This window comes from Homo sapiens, chromosome 1, assembly GCF_000001405.40.
Source record: "Homo sapiens chromosome 1, GRCh38.p14 Primary Assembly".
Taxonomy (NCBI): Eukaryota; Metazoa; Chordata; class Mammalia; order Primates; family Hominidae; genus Homo; species Homo sapiens.
The window spans coordinates 207,056,106-207,078,472 of NC_000001.11; the positions used below are offsets into that span (position 1 = coordinate 207,056,106).

A 22,367-nucleotide genomic window follows, 5' to 3' on the forward strand; every position below is an offset into this window, starting at 1 on the left:
AACAGTGTCTCCCCCAAGAGTGATGTGAGGATTAAATGACTAAATGTAGGAAGGCGCTTAGAAGAGTGTTGGGCATATATCTAATGTGTGTTATTTTTCACAGGTGACTCAATCTGCCTGTTGTATTTATTCCTGAAATGTTTATATTGAATCATACTCAAATGCTGTATTGGAAGCTCACTATTTAAAAGAGGGCTGTGAATAATTATTTTTTCAGTAAAAAATGTTTTCTTCTCTTATTTGACAATATTGTAACCCAGATTTGGGGATCTAGGATGCACCTCTTACAGGGAGGTACACTAATGTTACTAGGGTGCTTGATCCAAAAGAGAGCTGGGGCTGGGGGGCAGGATCGATAATTGTGGGAGTCTCTGACTACACGATGCCATGTGTCAGTCCTTCTAGCTTTGCTTTTTTCTCCATGGTAGGAATCTCTTCTACCTGCTTTCCTAACTCTTCTGTAGTTCCTTTGCCTTGAGGGCTTTCAAGTCAGGGAAGCAGTAATCCCTGGTTTCTTTCCTGTCTTCTAGACTCTAATTCCTGCTCTGGGCTCTAATCTCTTTTTTTCCATACTCTAGTTTCTCTAAATGCCTTTTTCTTCTCTAAGAAGAAGAAGGTGTCCTAAAGCCACTGTGATTTATTTACCCTATTCTCTCCTCACGTCACAGTCGGGCTGTGAGACTGTTGCAGACATAGTCAAAGGAGAAAATAAAGTTATGAGTATATGTGTTAACTTACTTCCTTTTCCTCTGCTATAGAGCTGTACTTTGGAGCTGGTTCACCTGGCAGCTTAGTGTTCACATCAGCGGCTGCTTTATTAATAGCTTAACCGTTGTTCCCTTGCTGCTCATTACACCTGTGTTGGCTAACTTTGACTCCGGGAAGTGACTGGGCTTGAGGATTTCAGGGCTGAAGAATGACTTTAGGGAGCCAAAACCTCCGAAGGAGCATTACTGGGACTTCAACTGCTCCAGGGATGGGGCGAAGAGGGGCTACTGGCCGAGGTGCCTTTACGGTGCTCAGAGGACTGGTTTCAGGGCTTATGAAAGCAGAAATGGAGGGCCGGGTGTGGTGGCTCACGCCTGTAATCCCAGCACTTTGGGAGGCCGAGGAGGGTGGATCATGAGGTCAGGAGATCAAGACCATCCTGGCTAACATGGTGAAACCCCGTCTCTACTAAAAATACAAAAAAACTACAAAAAAAAAAAAAAAAAAAAAAAAAACTAGCCGGGCATGGTGGCGGGCGCCTGTAGTCCCAGCTACTCGGGAAGCTGAGGCAGGAGAATGGCTTGAACCCGGGAGGCGGAGCTTGCAGTGAGCCGAGATCGCGCCACTGCACTACAGCCTGGGTGACAAAGTGAGACTCCATCTCAGGGGGAAAAAAAAAAAGCAGAAATGGAGAAATCTACATGCTTTTTTTTTTTCTTTTTAATTTTTTTTTTTGAGTAGTTCTGGAACAGACAAATTCTTCCATGTACCTTTCCCTAAATACAAAAGCAATGTATGTTCATAAAAAATTCAAACTACAGAAAGGATTTAGAAAGCGAAAAGTAAAAGACTCCTGTTTCTTCCAAATTTGATTCTTTTAGACATCTTATTCTGGTATATCCTATTAATAAAGGTAGGTTCATATTGTTCATATTCTGTTCAGCTGCCATTTCCTTTTTTATTTTTTTAAATAAGTTACTGTCTTGTGGACATCCTTTTAATGTTGATAAATGCAGATTTACCTCATTCTGCATTGTATGGATATGCCAGCTTTCCACGGATAGGTATTTAAATTGTTTCCAGTTTTTCATCATCACAAAGAGTGCTGCAGTGACCATTCTTACACGTACACCTTTGCACATTTGTGACAGCAACTTTTCCTACAGAAATAATAGAAAAGATAGACACATTGGAAATGTTCATCAGTATTACTAATTTGCTCTCCTAAGAAGTTCTATATTGTAAGCTGTTTTCAATATTTTAAGATATTTGATGGAAATTGGGCAGCATCAACTATAGCCATAGTGGTTAACTGAAACATCAGCTTTCTTAGTGTTTGACCGTAGTTATACGAACTTGGTTATTTCATGCCTGTCAACTGGCAGGAGATAATCAGCAGTTCTGACTTCTGATGAATAAAGATAAAATGTCACTAATGAAACATGCTTTATGGGCAGCATATTTCTAAATATTAGGCCTCTTTAGAGCCAATAAAAGAAGACGTCCTGGGTCCTGAAAAGGCTGGGAACCATTGCTCTCCTAGACCATCCTTCAGGATTAGAATGGAGAGCAAGTTGTGTTTACCGTGAGGGAACCTTTGTCAAGTGCTGACATGAGGCACAGGAGCTGGCAGCTGGGACTGAATGGGCAGTCATGAGATCAGGAGACTGGTCAGAACCCTGACCTTGACTGTCTATTGTGGGACCATGGGCAAAGCTCTTAATTTCTCCAGGCTTGAGTTTTTCCATTTACACGAGGGAAGTTATCAAGTCCTCATTTTTTTTGTAAATCTTTTTTTTAAAATACATTTATTTATTTATTTTGAGACCGGGTTATGAGACTGGCTAATTTTTATATTTTTAGTAGAGATAGTGTTTCACCATGTTGCCAAGGCTGGTCTCAAACTCCTGGGTTCAGGCGATCCACCCAACTTGGCCTCCCAAAGTGAGGATTACAGGCATAAGCCACTGCGCCCAGCCTCAAGTCTTCATTTTATCTAAGCAAGTTTATGAAAGGAAAATGAGTTTAAGTTTAAGAAAAGGAGTTGAACCTGGCTTAAAGAAGGTGGAAGAGAATTTCAGGATTGAAACAGTTTTCCATTGTCTATCAAGAGATGGGTTACATTGTCTCTGAAATTAATCAGGTGGCAGTGGCAGGTGGTTTTGTTTTTTAACAGGCAGGACAGAATGTTCCTACTTTTGCCAGTGTGGTAATTTGAGATAGGAAGTGTGGTTTAGTTTTGTACTCCAGAAAATGAGAAGCCCTGGTTGTAGCAGGTGTGCTTAAGTGTATTCTGGACAGAGGCGAGAGGTGCGTTGCTGGAGGGCTCTTGGGAGGTCCCAGTGGATGCAGTTTTTTGTTGTTGTTGTTCTTAGCATTCTCTGTCCACATGGGTAAACAAGAGCAGCTGGTTCCCTGGTTGCCTTCAGAGCAGCTCCCAAGTATCAGTTCATTTTAAACTTTAGGGAGGGTAATAGGACCTTCGGGGGAAGTGCCTAATGGGCTGGAAGGTGCGGACAAAGCAGGCCTAGAAGTGCAGGTAATGAGCCAAATCATGGGGGATTGAGAGCAGGCATTGAGCCGAGCTGGAGAAAGTGAAGACTCAGGGGATTTTACTACTTAAACCTGAGACAGCTGATCCCATGCAGAGGCTATCTGCTTGTTAGGGGCCAGTGATCAGGGATTAATGCCAGCTGAGGCTTCAGGGTACAGTTTGCTTGCCTTTAAGCTCCCTATTTGAACACAGATGAAAATCACTTATGTTGCTCCTTTACCTACCTTGGAGGGGCTCCTGCTGAGACTCAGGAATTTTCCATGTGTGCAGTGGGTAAAGGACTAAAAGCCAAGCCCTCTGACCCCAGGTCTGGGCCTCCATTTCTCCCTCCTCACCACTAGGGTCACTCTGAGTACTTCTTGCCAAACACCCTTAGGAAACTTTTCCTTCCGAGGGTGGTTCTCTACCTGGGCCCCTCCTCCCACTTCTCCATTGAGATCTTTCTACATTTATTTCTCAAAAAATGAAAGTCATATTTCCCATCCAAGTACCTCCATTTTACAGAACTGTTTCTTAATCTTACAAGGTCCCTTAGTACCAGGCAGAGGGGCAGCCGCAACTTGCAGGGCACCTTCTGGGAAGCAGTGGTGGGAAGTGGGAGGTGAAGGTGTTTCTTCCTTTTTCCCCCATCCTGTGCAGGGCCTTCCCTCATTGGAGCCGGCAGAGCCTGAGCTATCCCAGATGACCTCAGTGTGGTTTTTGGCCCCGGGACAGTGGCTGGCAGCAGTTCAGGTCCTTCTCCCACCTCTCCTCTGCAGCAAGATGGGCCGGGAGGAGCCAGCCCCTGTGAGCAAAGTGATGAGGAACCTCTTTTTATGGAGAAAAGCTGCAAGGAAGCACAAGATCTGTGTTCTAGTGCCAGCTGTACCCTTGACTCATTATGTGTCCCTAGACAAGTCACCTGTCCCCTGAACATGTAGTTTGCCCTGCCTGTCCAGTGAGACTTATCTCTGCAAATGAGCATTCCTGAAGTAAGTTAATTTACTAAGGAAGGGTAGACTGAGGACTGTTAATGCTTCTCAATTGTCTTGCTTTTACGTGGGCCATGGTGGCAGATTGGCCCTGATGCCCTTTGTGGGCTGGCTCTACCCTGAAGCTTCCTGAGGTCTATTCAGAATGTGTATCAAGTAAGCTTTGCCAACTCAATCTCACTATGGTTTAGAAATTCTGGCTTAAAGAGGAGCTCATGACCTGAGTGAAAAGGCCAAAACAGCTTGAGGCAGGGCTTTTTGCAGTGGGCAAGCTAATTCTTGCCCATGGTTCTGAAGGGATGAGTGGGATCCTGGAGACAGAAACTCTGTTGGACCTATTATAGGAGCCAGCTCAGTTCTGCACTGGTAGAATCTCCAAGCATTAGACCTTCCTTCACAGCTCTGTCATTTTTATATTTCTAGGCATTCTTATGTTAAGGATGATGTCATTGTTACTTTTCTTTCTTTCTTTCTTTTTTTGAGACGAAGTCTTGCTCTGTCGCCCAGGCTGGAGTGCAGTGACGGGATCATGGCTCACTGCAACCTTGAACTCCTGAGCTCAAGCAATCCTCCTGAGTAGCTGGGACTATAGGTGCACACTCCCACATCTGGCTAAGTTAAATATATATATCTATATATCTATATATCTATATATATCTATATCTTAAATATTATATATTTAAGATATATATAAATATCTTAAATATATATATTTTATATATATCTTTATATATATCTTTATATATCTTTATATATATCTTTATATATATCTATATATCTTTATATATATCTTTATATATATCTTTATATATATTTATATATATCTTTATATATATATATATATATATATATATATATATATATTTTAAGAGACAAGGGTCTCTCTATGTTGCCCAGGCTTATCTTGAACTCCTGGCCTCAAGTGATCCTCCCACCTCATTCTCCCAAATTGATGGGATTACAGGCATGAGCTGTCATGTCTGGCTGCAGCATGGTTATTTTCTTTCTTAGCCTTGCTACTTTTTTCCTCTTTCCACCTTGGGTACTGCAGTGAAGACCTCAGACATGTGGGAAAGACGTATCTTGGTTTGGGCATTTTCTGGAAGCCTGCATAACCTTTTAACTCTATTTCAGGAGGCCTGCCTGATATCTCCTTATTTGTCTTCCCAGACTTGCTGAACCTTTGCTCCACAGGTTTATGAAGATAAAATGAGATTATGACTATGAAGTTCGTAGCTCAGTGTATAAACCTTACTAGACCCCAGCGGGGCTGGGCGCCTCACGCCTGTAATCCCAGCACTTTGGGAGGCTGAGGTGGGTGGATCATGAGGTCAAGAAATTGAGACCATCCTGGCCAACATGGTGAAACCCCATCTCTACTGAAAATACAAAAATTAGCTGGGCATGGTGGAGGGCGCCTGTAGTCCCAGGTATTCGGAAGGCTGAGGCGGGAGAATCACTTGAACCTGGGAGGCGGAGGTTGCAATGAGCTGAGATCACGCCACTGTACTCCAGCCTGGTGACAGAGTGAGACTCCGTCTCAAAAAAACAAACACCAAAAAACCTTACTAGGACTCTAGTCATTTCGTTTTATTTTGTTTCATTTCCTTCTAGCATGGGCCTCCTACATGACCAACTCCCCGACTCTGATCGTTATGATTGGTTTGCCAGCCCGGGGTAAAACCTACGTGTCCAAGAAACTAACACGCTACCTCAACTGGATTGGAGTCCCCACCAAAGGTAAGTGTGGCTCATTCCCTAGGAAAGACAATTATTAGTTCCTGGGCCTCACAGGTCTCTGGGAGACTTATTCTTCCTGGCATCAATGCTATAGGGTGCTTTTGGCAGAAATAGCAGTTGCTTTCTGGTTTACTGGAGTTATTCTCTATTCCCAGACTTGTCTCCTCCTGGCGTGGGTGGATTGGCCTAGTTTTGAGGGAATGCCTTTGATAGGACTGTTAAGATTTAGATGAGCATAGGGCTGTACCTTTTCAGAAGCCTTACATGGACATCATCTTATATAACCCTAGCAGTGTCTCTGTGAAATAGACAGAGTGGCTGAGGAAATTGAAACCTCAGACAGCTTAAGACTTGTCCAAGGTCTAGAAAGTCAGGGCTTGAACCCAACTCTTTTGACTCTTAATCTGATATTGTTCCCAACCTACCATGCTGCCGCTTTTTTCATCCCCTTGGTCACTCCGACATTAGGCCAAGAAACAAGTCCCATTTGGTGGGGCCATCATATTATTTTGCTGCTGAAGGATTTGGGTGTCTTCTACAGTGTTTAATCTTGGGGTGTATCGGCGTGAAGCAGTCAAGTCCTATAAGTCCTACGACTTCTTTCGGCATGACAATGAGGAGGCCATGAAGATCCGCAAGTGAGTCTTGTTTAAGGCCTGATCTCCAGGTCAGCTCTTTCTTGGCCGTCATGAGACTTGGTGTGACAGGGCTTGGTTTCATCTCAGTAAATATCTTAAGGGGAAGTTAAATGGAAGTTATCTGATGGGCAAGTGACCTTGGGCTTGGGTGGTCAGAAGAACAGGGCTCAGGGTGATTGATACCTGTGTGCTTGTAGGAGAAGTCTAAAGAGGGCTAAGATCTGTGCATTGGGGCAGGGGCAGGAAGGGGTTATAGGATGGTGTGAAAACCCTCAGTGAGAAAGTTGAAAGATCTAGTTAGAGAAAGGTTTTGAACAGTGGGAAACTAAGTGGGCAGGGATGTGACTTCTGTAGCCACCCGAATGTTTGTGTCTCTGACTGTTTGAGCTTAGCTCTCCTTGCTGGTTTCATTTGCTCTTATGGCAGACAGTGTGCTCTGGTGGCGCTGGAAGATGTTAAGGCGTATCTCACTGAGGAGAATGGTCAGATTGCGGTAAGCTTTATCTGCTGCTTCTTCTTTCTGGTCCCCACCCTTGCAGCAGCCTGGCTACCCAGCCCCACCTTGAGTCTGCCCTGGTGGGGTTCTGTTTCTCTGTTCCTGCTCATTTACCTTGTGTACTTTCTTCACAGGTGTTTGATGCCACCAATACAACCCGGGAGAGGAGGGACATGATTTTGAACTTTGCTGAACAGAATTCCTTCAAGGTAGGATCTGACTCCATGTTGGAGGAAAAGGGATGAGTAGAGGTGGGGAGTCAGGCTACAGGCATGGATCTCTCACTCTAGTGGGTGAGGACAGGATGGGATATCTGAATCTCTTCTCTCAGAGCATTCCCCCAGTCCTTGAGTGTTTTCATTCAGGTCCTTTCTCAGACTGTTAGCCTGTATGTTTGAGGCCCAGGGGCTGTGGTAAGAGCTATGAGGAGGACTTGAGGGCCACTTTCATGAAGAAAATCCTGGGAGATGTGGTGGCTGGGTGGGGTAGATGAGCATGTGCTCTTAATTAACAGCCTGGCATTTTTGACTTGCTTATCACTGCCTTCTCTCCATGGCCAGGTATTCTTTGTGGAATCCGTCTGTGATGATCCTGATGTCATTGCTGCCAATATTCTGGTTGGTGACACCCCTACATATCATCTCCTCTTCACCTTTTGTGCTGTGTGTGTTGTGGGGTGTGTGTGTGTGTGTGTGTGTGTGTGTTGTTGGGGAGGGGTGTTTTCGTAATGAAAGAGAGAAATAGACATGTTTAACATCACAAAGAGATCTTTTCTATCTGCCAGAGCCCCATCTGGTACTTCTACACTCTTCTCTTGGGAGAGGAAACTGAGGCTTTAAGGAATCAAGTAAGAATTAGCTGTTGAATTGAAACCAGGGTTTAGGTTGTAGGATTCTTGGCCCTGTGCTCTAGGTATTATCTGGATGTTGAGACCTAGATGTTGGAATAGATCAGCCGGGCACGGTGGCTCATGCTTGTAGGCTCAGCACTTTGGGAGGCCGAGGCAAGTGGATTGCTTGAACCCAGAAGGATCACCTTAGCCTGGGAGGTTGAGGCCACAGTGAGCCGTGATTGTGCCACTGCAGTCCAGTCTTGGTGACAGAGTGAGAACATGTCCAGGGAGGTTGAGGCTGCAGTGAGCCATGATTGTGCCACTGCAGTCCAGTCTTGGTAACAGAGTGAGAACATGTCTCAAAAAAGAAAAAAAAAAAAGAATAGATCAGACTCTTCGTTTCAGGACTTACCTACAGGAAGGTTATCTCCCCAGCAATTGTCCAAAGTTCTCGTCAGTGTTCTATACATTGAGCTCCTTATTCCCTGTGGGGTCACAATGTAAGCCAGTCCCCATTGGATGGGTTGTGCTCTGCTGGACCGAGTAGATATCTGAACATGGTCTTATGCAGGTGCTCTCCCAGCCGTAGGAACTTGGGATCATCTGAGGAAGAGCCATCTGGTCCCAAGTCAGGCACTGGGGTCATGCACCCTATTCTGAGTGGTAATAGGGAAACATTGGAGCCTGTTCTGTTTTCTCAGGAAAGTACATAAAGGGATTGGGGCCCAGGAGCAGCTTTGGCTGCGTGACTGCCTCTGTCCTTCAGCCAAGTGCAGGCACATGACTCCCCAGTTGTCTTAACTTTTTTGGTTGCCAGGGTCACAGGACGGGGCGGGGCGGGGCGGGGGGTACTCAATGAGTGGAGTGCCAATGTTCCAGTGAAAGGCGACATTTATGGACTTCTTTTTCTTTTTTTTAGCAGTGGCTATTTGTAGGAGGACTGTTACGGGCAGACCTCTGATGAGGCCTTTACTGGTTCCTATGATTTCAGGAGGTTAAGGTATCAAGCCCTGACTATCCTGAAAGGAACAGAGAGAACGTGATGGAGGACTTCCTGAAGAGAATTGAATGCTACAAAGTTACCTACCGACCTCTTGACCCAGACAACTATGACAAGTAAGGTTTAAGGCCATGGTTTGAAGGGCCCAAGGCAAAGGTCTCATCTGGGAAAATAACCTTTCTCCCTGAGTTCTCTAACTTCCTTCTGATAATCTAGATCTACAGTGTTAACATCATCCCAGAGAAATAAGGTATGGATTTGTGGCTTTTATGTGGATTGCATCTTGTACATGAAAAATTGAAGTGGTTGGTTTTGTTTTGTTTTGAGACAGGGTCTCACTCTGTCACCCAGGCTGGAGTGCAGTGGCAAAATCAGGGCCCACTGCAACTGCTGCCCCCGGGGCTCAGGTGATCCTCCCACCTCAGCCTCCTGAGTAGCTGGGACCACAGGTGTGCGCCACCATGCCCGGCTATTTTTTTTTTTTTTTAGTAAAGATAGAGTTTCCCCATGTTGGCCAGGCTGGTCTTGAACTCCTGAGCTCAAGTAATCCACCCGCCTCGGCCTCCCAAAGTGCTGGGATTACAGGTATGAGTCACTGCGCCTGGCTGGAAGTGTTTTTTATCATCAATTTTTTCTCTCCAGTCTCTAGAGCATGATTTCCTCAATCTCAGTATTATTGGCACTTTGAACTGGGTAATTCTTTGTTGTAGGACCTGTCCTGTGCATTGTAGGATGTTCAGCAGCTTCCCTGGGCTTTGCCCACTAGATGCCAGTAACACCTCCAACCTGTGACAACCAAAATGTCTCCAGACATGTCAGAGGTTCCCCGGGGGGCACAGTTATCCCTGGTTGAGAATCACTGCTCCATATCTGAATGGGGGTGTTGTAGGATACCCTTTGGAGATGTGTCATCAGTTTTTAAAGTTTATATATATTATATGATATTTTACATATATTAATGCTTGTGTGTATATCATGCATATTATAGCATAACATATATATTACATATTGCATATTTTTATATCTATCTCTCTCTATATATAACATGCAAAGCCCTCAAGAACATGCCTGACTCAGAGAAATGTCTGATCAATGCCAGCTGTTGTTACTATGGAAGCATTTGTTGGCAGTATGGTGTAGACTATAGATTAACTTGTCATGTGTGAGGTATATGAGCCATAACAAAACCAAGTCTATGTTGAAGAAAGATGGTGTACACATGGAAATCTGCAAGAATGTGGCCTCATGAAAGAGCATGCATTCAGGGCAGTTAACAGCTCTATTCACATAATACAGACCTGCAGCCAAGCAAATGGCACATTTAATGTGCATGGCACACTTAATACAGTGGTCTGTTTAATGTTTTGAGCCTTTCAGTTCCTTCAAGTGGGTTTCCCAGAATCCCCTTAATTCAGAGGCTGAAAACCACCTCTAGATATGGCATAAAAGTATTCTTCAGTTGGAACAAAGTCCCACCTAGAAAAACATACAGAAGATCTACATATATATACATGTGTATGTTTGTATATGTTATCTCTGGTAGTAGGGTGATGCGTGATTTGCATCCTTCCATCATTTTTTCTGATTTTTTGATTTAAAATAAGCACTTATGACTTTTTTTTTGAGATGGAGTCTCTCGCTCTTGTTGCCCAGGCTGGAGTGCAGTGGCACGATCTCGGCTCACTGCAACCTCCCCCTTCCTGGGTTCAAGCAATTCTCCTGCCTCAGCCTCCTGAGTAGCTGGGATTACAGGCACCCGCCACCACGCCCGGCTAATTTTTTTATTTTTAGTAGAGATGGGGATTCACCATGTTGGCCAGGCTGTTCTCAAACTCCTGATCTCCTGATCTACCCACCTTGGCCTCCCAAAGTGCTAGGATTACAGGCATGAGCTACCGCATCCAGCCACACTTATGACTTTTATAAAGAGAACAATCTCATGTTGGCCTCAAAGCAAGCAATGTCTGAAAGTGTCTTTGAGAGAAGCATGATTAGGTAGATGCAGGGAGTATATAGACATTTCTGTCTGTGCTTCTGCTGCCTCTTCCCTTCCCCTCGTTGCTCGTCGTGCCATATTCTGGCCAGGTCTTAACTGCCTCAAAAGGGGCCTATTCTTCTCACCAAATTTTGGGCTTAGCAAAATCTTCAGGTCACCTAGTCTAGCCCCTGATGGGAAGGCTGAATTCTGTTTATCCTATTTATCTACATTACTTGTCACACTACAGGCACTGAGGAAATGGTACAAACTTACTAGAAGTTCAGGAAATTGTACTTCATCTTGGTTTTAAGGAGTAATTAATCTCCTACCATTTGGTTCCATAAACGTGGGTGTGACAGAGGAGGGGAGGAAGAGCAGCTGTGAGCCTGCAAGTCCCTGTAGAAATCCTTTTCCCTCTGATTCTTATTCTCAGATCTTCTTACCTAGGGAATTTTTTTTTTCCTTTCCTGTCCCAGGGATCTTTCTTTCATCAAGGTGATAAACGTGGGCCAGCGATTTTTAGTCAACAGAGTCCAGGACTACATCCAGAGCAAGATAGTCTACTACCTCATGAATATCCACGTCCAGCCTCGCACCATTTACCTTTGCCGGCATGGAGAAAGCGAGTTCAATCTCTTGGGGAAGATTGGGGGTGACTCTGGCCTCTCGGTGCGGGGAAAGCAGGTGAGTAATTATTCAGCACACTGGATTTTCTAGGCTTAGAGTTAGAAGGGCATGACTGAGGTCATATATTTTATCTCCTTACTTAAATCCCATTTGGACGTAGGCTGTGGTTTCATAGTCAGGCAAGTGCTCAAGGTGTGTTCTTGCTCACTGCGTCTAGCTCTGTGTTAAAGAGTAGATAACTTTGACCCATTTCTGCTGTGATCATTCAACCATCAGATATTCATTGGGCACAACTTGTGTACTTAGCAATGTACAGGGTGCTCCAGTTAAAGTTCATTTCCTTTTGGGTTTATATTAACTATGTAGCACCTTATGGATTTTGACCATGGTTATGCACGTTGTCCCTTACAGACCAAGTTAGCAGGCTTTGTGTATGTGTGTGTTGAGTGTGTGTGTGTGTGTGTGTGTCTGTGTGTTTTCTTTTTACCCTTAATTTTCATTTTTAAACCCCAGTTTGCCCAAGCTCTAAGGAAATTTCTGGAGGAACAGGAAATAACAGACCTCAAAGTGTGGACAAGCCAGTTGAAGAGGACCATACAGACTGCTGAATCTCTCGGGGTGCCCTATGAGCAGTGGAAGATTCTGAATGAGATTGATGCTGTGAGTAGGAAGCTCTGAAGGCCCAGAAAAGCCAACAAGAGTTCAGGCAGGAACTCTCAGAAGTCACTATTTAGACAGTTTTATCTAGGAAACTACAACCAACAAGTAAAAACTCTGAGGAAGCTGACTCTATGGCCAGCCCGGGGGATCAGGGAGGACAATTGTACCCCTAATCAGGGGTTTCCTGCCTGATTCAGTACCTGTGCCAATCATGGGACCCAAACCAATTTTTGAGCCAGCCTTTCTGGCACCTGGGGAAAGTAGGGCTAACAAGGACTCATTTTGTTCCTTTGTATATTTGCCTCCTGGGAAAAATAAATAGCTAACAACCCACTTCTTTGCTTTCTGCTTAGATCATTTGGTCAGCTATTCAGGAAAAGTTTTTCCCAAAATTTCTCTTGGCTTTCTCTCTTCTTGAGTACAAAAGTAGACATTTCTTTCTTTTTTTTTTTTTGTGACACGGAGTCTCGCTCTGTGGCCCAGGCTGGAGTGCAGTGGCGTGATCCTGGCTCACTGCAACCTCTGCCTCCTGGGTTCAAGCAATTCTCTCCCTCAGCCTCCCGAGTAGCTGGGATTATAGGCACCTGCCACCACGCCTGGCTAATTTTTGTAGTTTTAGGGGAGATGGGGTTTCACCATCTTGGCCAGGCTGGTCTTGAACTCCTGACCTTGTGATCCACCCGCCTTGGCCACCCAAAGTGTTGGGATTACAGGCATGAGCCACCGTGCCCGGCCGACATTTCTTTTTCTTTCCTTCCTTCTACCCTTTTATTTTTCATGCAAGGTCTCCAGTCCCTTCAGTTTCCCTCCTTCTCTGCTTCCTGTTCCTTTTAGCCTCTTGACTTTCTTGACCTGTAAGTTCCCCCCAGTAGTAGGAGAATGTGGTAGCTTGAGCTAGAGAAGTTGCCTCTTTCCGGCAGTGGTCCTCACCCGGTGAGTCACAGACACTCTGTGACACTCTGGTCACAGGCAGCTGCAATACATGAAAGGACCCAGCACAGTGCCTGGCACGTACTAAGAAACTAGCATTCTTCAATGTCATCTTCCTTATTTGGGATGGGGCTGGTGTGGTACAGTCTATCTCTTCAAGCCAGCTTCAAGTGGCTTTTTGCAGGGTGTGTGTGAAGAGATGACCTATGCAGAGATTGAGAAACGGTACCCAGAAGAGTTTGCACTTCGAGATCAAGAGAAGTATCTGTATCGATATCCTGGTGGGGAGGTAAGACGCCCCTGTCATGTAAAGTGACTGCCTAGACCCTTGCTGAGTGTTTAACTTTAATTTGGGGGAAGGATTGAATGTGATTTGGAGGGTCTAGGCATCATTTATCTTCCTTCCCTTGGGTCATTTTGGTTTCATTCAGCTTAGACAATCGAATGCCTCATTAATTGTTAAGATTCCCAGGGATAAGGGTGACAAGGCATCCTCTGTTCAGTATGTTTTAGAATCAACACAATCATTTTTACTTCTTTTTTTCCTTGTACTCTCTCAATCCCACCCCCACATAAGTAAGTGGAGTCACCAAGTAAATATATGGGATAGGAATTATTTCCCTGTCATCTTGAGTGTTTTAGGCTATTTCCTTGTCTAAGTGGCTTCCATACTCTAGGGATGTGTGAGGCAAAAGTAAATAAAACTGAATGGCAGAGGTACAGGAAACCCCTAGGAGTCTCTTGTCTCACTGCCTGTATTAATCTGTGGGAAGAAAAAACACACACACACAGGTTGAACTCACACTTCCTCTTCTTAACCTGTAGTTTTCTTGGTCTAAATATTGCTTTTGAAAGATCTGAGTTTTCTCAAGAGATACCAGGGCTGGGGGCAGTTAGCAGGTGATGTAAACTCACTGAGCCTCCAGGAGGAAAGCCAGCTGAGGAAGAAGAAGTGGCCCTTAGTCTCCAAGGTCCAGCCACTGACTTGGCTGCCAGCTTGCACCTGGGCTCCTGCCAGCCTGCCCCATTTCCCTCCACAGTCATACCAGGACCTGGTGCAGCGGCTGGAGCCTGTCATCATGGAGCTGGAACGTCAGGGCAATGTCCTCGTCATCTCCCACCAGGCTGTCATGCGCTGCCTCCTGGCCTACTTCTTGGATAAGGGCGCAGGTGCCTTTGAGGGAGGGGCTGGGAGACACATCCAGTGGGAGAGGGCTGGACTTGCAGTGGCACCAGGATTCCTGGGAAACAGACCTCCCTGTCTCCACTCAAATTAGAGTACTTTCTCCAGACAGCAGTGTGGGGCTCCCAGCAGCCACTGAGTCAATGACTTGCTGAGTTCACTCTGCTGCTACGAAAGCTTCCAATGGAGAGTGGCTGCTGCTGGTGCTCCTTGATCCTGCCTGGCTCAAGGGCCAGTGTCATGCTGACACTCCTGGCAGCATCAGGACAGTGGTTGAATATTCCCAGCCTGCCACGCTGCCTACTAGGAGGGTGGTATCTTAGGAGCAGCAGTTGTTTCTGGGTAAGGGCAGTAAGAAGGTGCCGTTGCCTTCTTCCATACTTCGCTTCCCGATCTTCGGGAGCTCCTGGGAAGCCTGCATTGTGGATGCTGAGCTCAGCATCCTGAGCTGCTTGGAAGCTGTTGTGGTCAGACCTTATTGGCCTTTGCTGTACCCAGGTGACCCCCTTCCATTGGGCTCTCTGGCTACAATACTTCCTGTTTTTGCCTGCGTGGAAGGATCTAAGATGGCCTTATTTCCTTCCTTAGCCACTCAGAAGGTTGGGTGGCTTTGTGGTCTGGGGTTTAAGGGAGGAGTTGTACAACTCTAAGAGGTGGTCAAAGTAAGGGAAACTCATTATGAGCTCTGTAGATTCTTTCTTCCACTAACTTGACCTTACTCCATAATACTAAGAGACTTCCCTCGCCTGGTCTTTCTGTTTTCAGATGAGCTACCATACTTGAGATGCCCTCTCCATACCATCTTCAAACTTACTCCTGTGGCCTATGGTAACTATGCACATAGGGGCTGGCAGGAGCTGGGAATTGAGGAAGGTCAGAATTTTCTCTGAAGTTTGTCTAGAGTTCAGCTTCATTATCCCTATATACCAGGGAAGCTCCATCAGTGCCTTCTGTTTTGAAAGGGATGTATGCATGACTGTGTGTATTGCAGAATGCGTACATTCCTTTGTGGTATACTTTCCCATAACTAAGGAATTTTCCATTGAACCTTTTTCTTTAAGTCCTCTCTTTCCTCTGTTTTCTCAGGGTGCAAAGTGGAAACAATTAAACTTAACGTGGAGGCTGTGAACACGCACCGTGACAAGCCAACTGTAAGTATTTTCCCACGATGAACACACCAGTTTCCCTGCCACCTTGAGTCTCTGAAGCTTTGACATCAAGAGACTGGGGTTTCTTTTATGTACAAAAGGGAAACAGATTCAGAACTTACGTCCAAATGTAGTTTGCTACGTCTGAAACTGATGTTGGAATTATTTTTTTTTTAAATTAGTACCCCTTTCATGAGTCTTAACCTTGAATGTTGGCTCCTGGAAATCCAATTAAATATGGAAAGTGTTTGGCTGAAGTGAAATGCAAATTACTACCCCCCTCCAACCCCAAGTGTCCCTTTAGAAAGCAGAGTCCAGAGGAGCCTATAAGGTGGGGGTCAAGAGGTGTAGGTTTGTTCCTAGGTCTGTCACTGGTAATCTGTGTGGTCTTCAATAAGCCCCTTCCTTTCTTTGGGTCTTTTTCCTGCTTTGGAATGTTATGCTCAAGGAGCTTCTCCCTTTTAGCCCCCTGATGCTAGGAGGCCAGGCCATGGGCCATGCCCTGTGAGGGACCCTGTGTGCAGAGGAGCAGGAGTGAGGGAAGCTGTTGTGGTTACAAGCGCATTATTAACCTGTATGAGTGAGCTTTTGGCTTGGCTTTCATTTGTGTGGTGTCACTCCATTTCCAATCAGAACAACTTCCCCAAGAACCAAACCCCTGTAAGGATGAGAAGGAACAGCTTTACGCCTCTGTCCAGTTCGAATACAATAAGGCGTCCAAGAAATTACAGTGTTGGGAGCCGGCCCCTCAAGCCCCTCAGCCCTCTCCGTGCCCAGGACATGCAAGAAGGGGCCGACTAGCCGAAGACCCAAGTCAGCATTCCGGTGGTGTAACTGTGTGTTTCCCTCCAGCCCTGGCCTCCTGCCCTTGTCACTAATCACCAAGGAGTCATTAACTTCCTCCCTCTATGCCCACCCCTGACACTTCACCATTAATCTTAACACAGAACATGAGGTTATGTGTTTATAGGACAACTTAAGCTGTTCTTCAGTTTGAAACATCTTTTCACCCAGGGGCAAGTTAGCAAATTGAGTCTTTTAGGACAGATTCTCAGATGGGATGATCTGGAGGAGGAGGAAAAAGATACACTCCCTTGGGGCTGAGCATGCCCCACACTCTTGGATCTTCTCTCTGTTCCCTGGTGTCTTCACTAATGTCCTCATGTTGGTGAAGTGTTGGGGGATGGAGGGCGGGTGAGCAGTCGGGGGACAAAAAGTCTATTTTTCCTTCACTTTTGTCTCTTCAATGTGTGTTTTCCTCACACTCCTTACTTGACTGCTTTCTTCCCCCACTTTCATGTCCCCTCTGGATTGTCCAGTGTAATGCATGGCATTGTGGTGTCTGTCTAGGAAGGAAGGGGTGATTGACAAGAGACAAGTCTGGCCCAGTTAATGCTTTCTGCAGTGGGTCTAAATGGATCTGGACTGGAGGAGTCTTTCCTTTCCTTTCTCCCTTCCTCTCCAGCCAGGTCCTGTAAGGGCCAGCCCAGACTACAGGACATCCACAGAATATTCTGGAGCTTGCAAGTAGACATAGGGTGAGAGTTCTTGCCTCCTTTCATGAGAAACAGTTCTAAGTCTTCGATGCCCTGGGAGAATCTGGCTCTGAGCATGTGGGAAATGTCTTGGTTTTTATTTTTAATTTAGAGTCAGGCCTGGGTCTTTTGAGGTCTGCAGAGTGGGGTTTAGGAGAGTAGGGTGGGCTCTAGCTCTTGCAGGGCTCTTAGAGAGCAGTCATGTCTTTTCTCCCATGACTCTCAGGTTCTTTGCCAATCACAGCAACTTTTCCTGCCAAAGCCAGTATCCTCTGGGGCTGTTTAGAAGGGCAGTTAGATTCAGGAGTCACCACTGATGTTTGAGTTGCTCAAGGCAAGAGGCAGAGAAGAGTTCACTAAAACTGCTTATTTTTGAATAATTTCAGCACACTGTCCTTAAGAAGAAAGAAACATCAAAACAAAATAGTTTTTACATGACCATTTTTTTCCCAAATGTGGAAAAGCTTGATGATGAATTTAATCTCTCTCATTGGAGTATTCTTTTGTTCATAAAGAGAAACTATCTCATCTTGATGTCCAGAGAAGTCCTTGGAACCCTGTGGGATCTAGCTCGTAACTGTTTGTATTTCTCTATTCACTTCTGTCATTTCATTTTCTTTGTAGGGTTAAACAGAAAATGTTTAGGGAAGAAATTCTTAGCCCCTTGATGACCATGATGGCTTATTCTCTTTCCCAATTTTGCATGCAAAATGTACGAATATATGTATGTTTTTCTGAGAGGCAAGTTTAGGGTTCTCATGGGATTTTAAAAAGAGATAGGTGACTCCCCACCTTAAAGTTATCTGCTGGTCTTTTAGAGGTAACCAGTGAGAAGGAGTTAGCTATTTTCCAAGGGTGTTTTCATTTGGTAATGGAAGACTTTTTGCTGTGGTTCTCATCCAGGAGTATTCCTTAGAATTGCCTTTAGGATTGTTGAATCATAAACATGCCTGTGTCCACCTTATGCTTAATACTGACTCAGAATCTCTGGGATCTGGGTCTGGACATGCATGTATTTAAGTAGCTTCCCGGATGATTCTGATTCATAGCTCGGGTTAAGAACTCCACCTTAGGAAGTTAGGTGGAAAAATACTGGATAGTAGTTTCTCAGACAAAAGTGTCAGCCTAGGAATTCTGAATTCCTCATAGTCCTGAAAGGACAGTTCTTTGGGTTTGATGTTTGAGCAGATCATAATGTTAAATGATATAACCCCCTGGAAGGCAGGCTGCTGTGTTTTAGAGGGTTATTCTAGGTTCTAGTCCCATCTTTAACCCTTTACATTGCTGAGTGATGTGGAACAAATCACTGAATTAAATAATTGTCTCTAGAGAGCAGCTGGGGATTTTAAGCACCCTGGAGAGAGGTGCAGACCCTGCCAGGATGATAAAGGTTGTCATCACTGGCAACTGACTCCTGACCCCGGGTCCTTTACTCGTATGTCCCAAGTAGGATACCATAGGCAGCTTCTAAAGGCTGCTTACCTAGATTCTTCTCAAAATTGTGTCCAAGATGTTAAGTAACCTGCTATTCCTGTTTAGTGGTTACATAACATGTACTTAGTGTCTTTGTGGAGCTTTGGGCTGGTAGGGGCAGGGATAGGGGAAAGCTAAACAGAAGTAGAAGAAAAGGTCCTTGTCCAGAGGAAGGTTATTTTAAGAGACAGGACATGTAATTTATAACAAATGGACATTTGCAATATAGCAACAGTCTGAGTCTAGAAGTGTTCAACCATCACATCGCTTCTCCTGACTTTTCTGTTGTCCTATGGCTATGAGACTACAGGGGTTGGGGGATGGGGATGCCCCCACCACCACCAGTGTGAGAATGAGATATGGTTGGGGAGGCGTGTTTGGCACTTTTACAAGGTTGCATTGTCCACATTTGCTTGGATGGTGGCATCTGTAGCCCAAATGGGCATTCAGTCTTTTCTTCTGCTGTGAGGTAAGAGTAATTCAGACCTAATGAATGAGAAGAGGGAGCACTTTGATCCACAGACTTTGGATTAACACTGTACCCACTCTTAGCAAAAGGGGACTTCTCTAACAAGCTAGCATTGTGTTAACCTGTCATTAACCCAGCATTAGAGACAGGTCACTGGGATGTTCATTCTGGCTCTCAGCCTGCTGTTATTTCCCCACTCTCACCTGTGCTAGTTCGCTTTCTCCAGAAGAGGAGCTGAGGTGGTCTTATCCTCAGATAGGACATGAGAAATTGGAATTTGGCAAGCAAGGGCTTCAGCATCCTTTAGTTTCTAAAGCAAGATCCCTTCAGAGAAGTCTAGCAGGAAGAAGCCAGGAGAATGTAGAATGGAAAAGAGCTCTTACTCCAAATTTTAGAGAAGTTTCAGCTCTACTTCTCATCTTTTCTCTCCTGGTCTTACTTGAATGCATGTTGGTAATCTGTATACATTACTATGACTGTGTCTATCACAAGTCCTACAAAATAAAAATGGACTTAAAAGTACTCTCTGCTGAGGCTGTAAGTTTTGTTTTGTGAGAAATAGGTAAAGACATTAGCATTTAATCTACTGGAATAAGCTGGTTGCTGTGGCTTATACCTGTAGTCCCAGATACTTGGGAGGCTGAGGCAGGAGAATCACTTGAGACCAGCCTGGGCAATATAGTGAGACCTCACCTCTAAAAAAGTTTTTTATAAATTTACTTGTCTAAAGTGGGGAAAGGGAAATTATTCTGTTTTCTTATTCTTGCTTCAAGACTATGACAGATTTGAAAGAGAATTCTAAAGCAGATTTAGAGAACCTGCTTCTCTTCTTATCTCCTAATCCCTAAATTGTAATTTAGCTCTTATCTGTATTGTTGTTTTGTTTTGGTAAAGGGATGATTTTTACATTGAGTTTTAAAGTAGAATAAGAAAAGCTTCTAAAAACTTGCATTGTGCTAGGGATCTGCCCTATATCTTTGCCTCTGGTGTTTCGTTGTTGTTGTTATTGTTTGTTTGTTTCCAAAGAAGTTGGAGTTAAGGACACAATATATTTGTACCCCTAGACTGAATGGGTGAGTATTCCATATGAGGATCTGGGTAATCCTCTTTGCAACCCACATTTGGTCTTCAGAGACACTGGCATTTTGAAGAAACATATGATATAGCTGTTTGGAAATAAATTCATCTATGTTACTTTTTTTTTCTTTTTTTTTTTTTTTTATGAGCAGGAGATCTTAATTGACAGAAACTCATTGGTGGTTGGAGTGGCCAATGGGCACGGGAAAAAGTATCCAGTAATCAGAAGAATTGTATCTGGGTTATGTAATCTTATGCACATTCCATTGTCTTTGCCAAGCCCAGAAGCCATGTTGTGTTCATTGTTAAGAAATTTGATAGATTTACCCAGCTTTTCTATGTATTTTGACTTATTGAAAATATGTAACAACTGAGTCGGGTTGCAGCACTGGTGGGGTAGAATCGACTTTCCCTGAAGGTGACACAGATGTCAGAATTGTGTCCAGGGATTTAATTTAGACCCATACTGTCCAGGAGACTGTCTCTAGTTGGATCTCTGTGCTGACTGACTGACAGACAGACTTTAGTGTCTGTGTGCTGACTGACAGACTCTAGTAGTGTCTATATGTTGACCAACTGGTAGACCAGGAGGATCTGTGTGCTGATTGACTCTAGTAGGATCTGTTTGTCACTGACAGACTGTAGTAGTGTCTGTGTGCTGACTGATAGATAGACTATAGTAAAATTTGGGTGTTGCCTGACTAACGGTCTAGGGTCTGTAAGCTGACAGTCTGCCTGCTTTCTGATTGTATCCATTGAAGTGTATGTACATTATGGTAATTCTCTGTCTATTAAATGTGTCTAACAAAGGAAGGAATTAAGCACTCCACGTGTTTTCTTTATAGGGGAGTTCTGTACACTATGATTTTAAATAGATATTTCTTATATAGTAGTGGCCAAATTCTCATTATTTTGTACAAGATAAAGGTTATGCATCACTTTTATGGTATTTTGTGAACTCAGCTAAGGGAATGCCTGTTCAGAGCCTGGAGTTGTTACCTTTACTTGAAGTCATCTCATCCAGTCCCCTGCTTTAGGGCAGGACTTCAGTTCCACTGTTCATTTCTGAAGCTTCTGTGTCCCCAGCTTACCCTGTTCTGAAATGTTGTATTCCATTGGACAGGGCTGCTATTTTTAGTCAGCCATGCATTTGGATTTTACACTTAATCTAGTAAGTAAAAATGAGAAGAAAATTTGGCATTTAAAAATTGATTTTAAGGGTTGGCAAAAGTATTTTTTCCAGTAAGCCTTTCACTGGATATCTGTGACCAATGTTTACCTACGCAATGTTTTTGTATCTGAATTGCTTATGTACGTTTTTTATTATATTGACCTAACAAGAAGATCAACTTATGCTGGTATGGTGATGGTTTTGCTATGGCAAAATCAAAGGGCTGATCATACATGGTGCCCTTTGGGAAGGGGGATGGTGTGGGGCTGAGCACCTCTGGGTTGAATGGGAATGGGTCAGATTGGGAAGCCTAGGAAGAGAGTTCTACTGTAGATTTCCTAGGCACTGCTCTGTTGAAATAGGAACATAAGTCTTTAGCAACATTCTGATTTAATCGGGTGACACTGATAACAAAGTATGCCACTCAGATCCATTTAAAGTGTGCATAACTGTATTTGAAATGTGTTTTTGTGTGCGTGTGTGTAGAATGGGTAAATAAAATTGTTGAGTAACTTGAACCTATCAGAAGGCTTCTGGGTTTTTTGTTTAGTATTTTCAGTTGTGTTTCCCATCCCTTCCCCACCCCTAAAACTTTGCCTCATGCTGCACAAGGATTCAGACTCAGACAAGCCAACAGAAGTTCGCACTGTAATTGAAGACCATGGTGTAGCCGTGGCTCTCTTCTGCCACCTTCTGGGGAAGATAGGAAGAACATTATGGAAAGCACATGAACTTCAATAGTTGTGTGTTCCTGTTGGCACTTATGCAAGAATTAAGAAACAATTACATTTCACTGCACTGTGCAGTAATTCCCATTAGCAACATGTAACTCATATTATGTATTATAAAGAAAACTTTTGGAGATTTTTTAGCACTTGGTGGACTGTTGTTCCTAAAATGTGATTTGCCCATTTCTAAAGAGATTATGGTCAAGGGTATAAAACAGCATTTAATTTTTTTTGAGACAGGAAATACAGATGGGATTGTTTTACCATTCGCATGCCTTATTCCTTGTTACCTTAACAAAGACCAGAAGCTCATTAGAAATGCAGAATCCCAGGCCCCATCCCAGACCTCCGGAGTCAGAATCCTCATTTTACTAGGACGACCAGGTGATTCATATGCACATTTAACATTTGAGAAGCACTGTTCTAGGGGAAAAATTTCCCACAAGGTA

General features: G+C 44.2%; 1 protein-coding gene across 10 annotated transcripts in view, besides 1 other annotated feature; it reads left to right on the forward strand.

Annotated features, from left to right (window-relative positions):
- The window catches only part of PFKFB2 (6-phosphofructo-2-kinase/fructose-2,6-biphosphatase 2), a 46,612-nt gene that overhangs the window by 21,690 nt on the left and 2,555 nt on the right, over window positions 1–22,367 (forward strand). For 5 of the 10 annotated variants that reach the window (XM_047422548.1, XM_047422547.1, XM_024447654.2 and 2 more), the window contains 13 exons: window positions 5,848–5,973; window positions 6,515–6,611; window positions 7,038–7,104; window positions 7,242–7,316; window positions 7,668–7,724; window positions 8,931–9,055; window positions 11,394–11,601; window positions 12,058–12,204; window positions 13,319–13,423; window positions 14,175–14,304; window positions 15,083–15,145; window positions 15,404–15,468; window positions 16,099–21,712. In XM_047422548.1, coding sequence (XP_047278504.1) covers window positions 5,848–5,973; window positions 6,515–6,611; window positions 7,038–7,104; window positions 7,242–7,316; window positions 7,668–7,724; window positions 8,931–9,055; window positions 11,394–11,601; window positions 12,058–12,204; window positions 13,319–13,423; window positions 14,175–14,304; window positions 15,083–15,145; window positions 15,404–15,468; window positions 16,099–16,266 — 1,433 coding nt within the window. In that variant the 3' untranslated portion in view covers window positions 16,267–21,712. The other 5 variants (XM_024447657.2, XM_047422549.1, NM_001018053.2 and 2 more) reach the window with 3 other exon arrangements.
- Window positions 11,419–11,650: a silencer, noted in NCBI's record as "fragment chr1:207240869-207241100 (GRCh37/hg19 assembly coordinates)". NCBI's record gives its function as "represses an EF-1alpha promoter that drives an FKBP-Casp9 reporter gene in an ReSE screen in HepG2 liver carcinoma cells {active_cell/tissue: HepG2}" and the evidence as "EXISTENCE:reporter gene assay evidence [ECO:0000049][PMID:32094911]".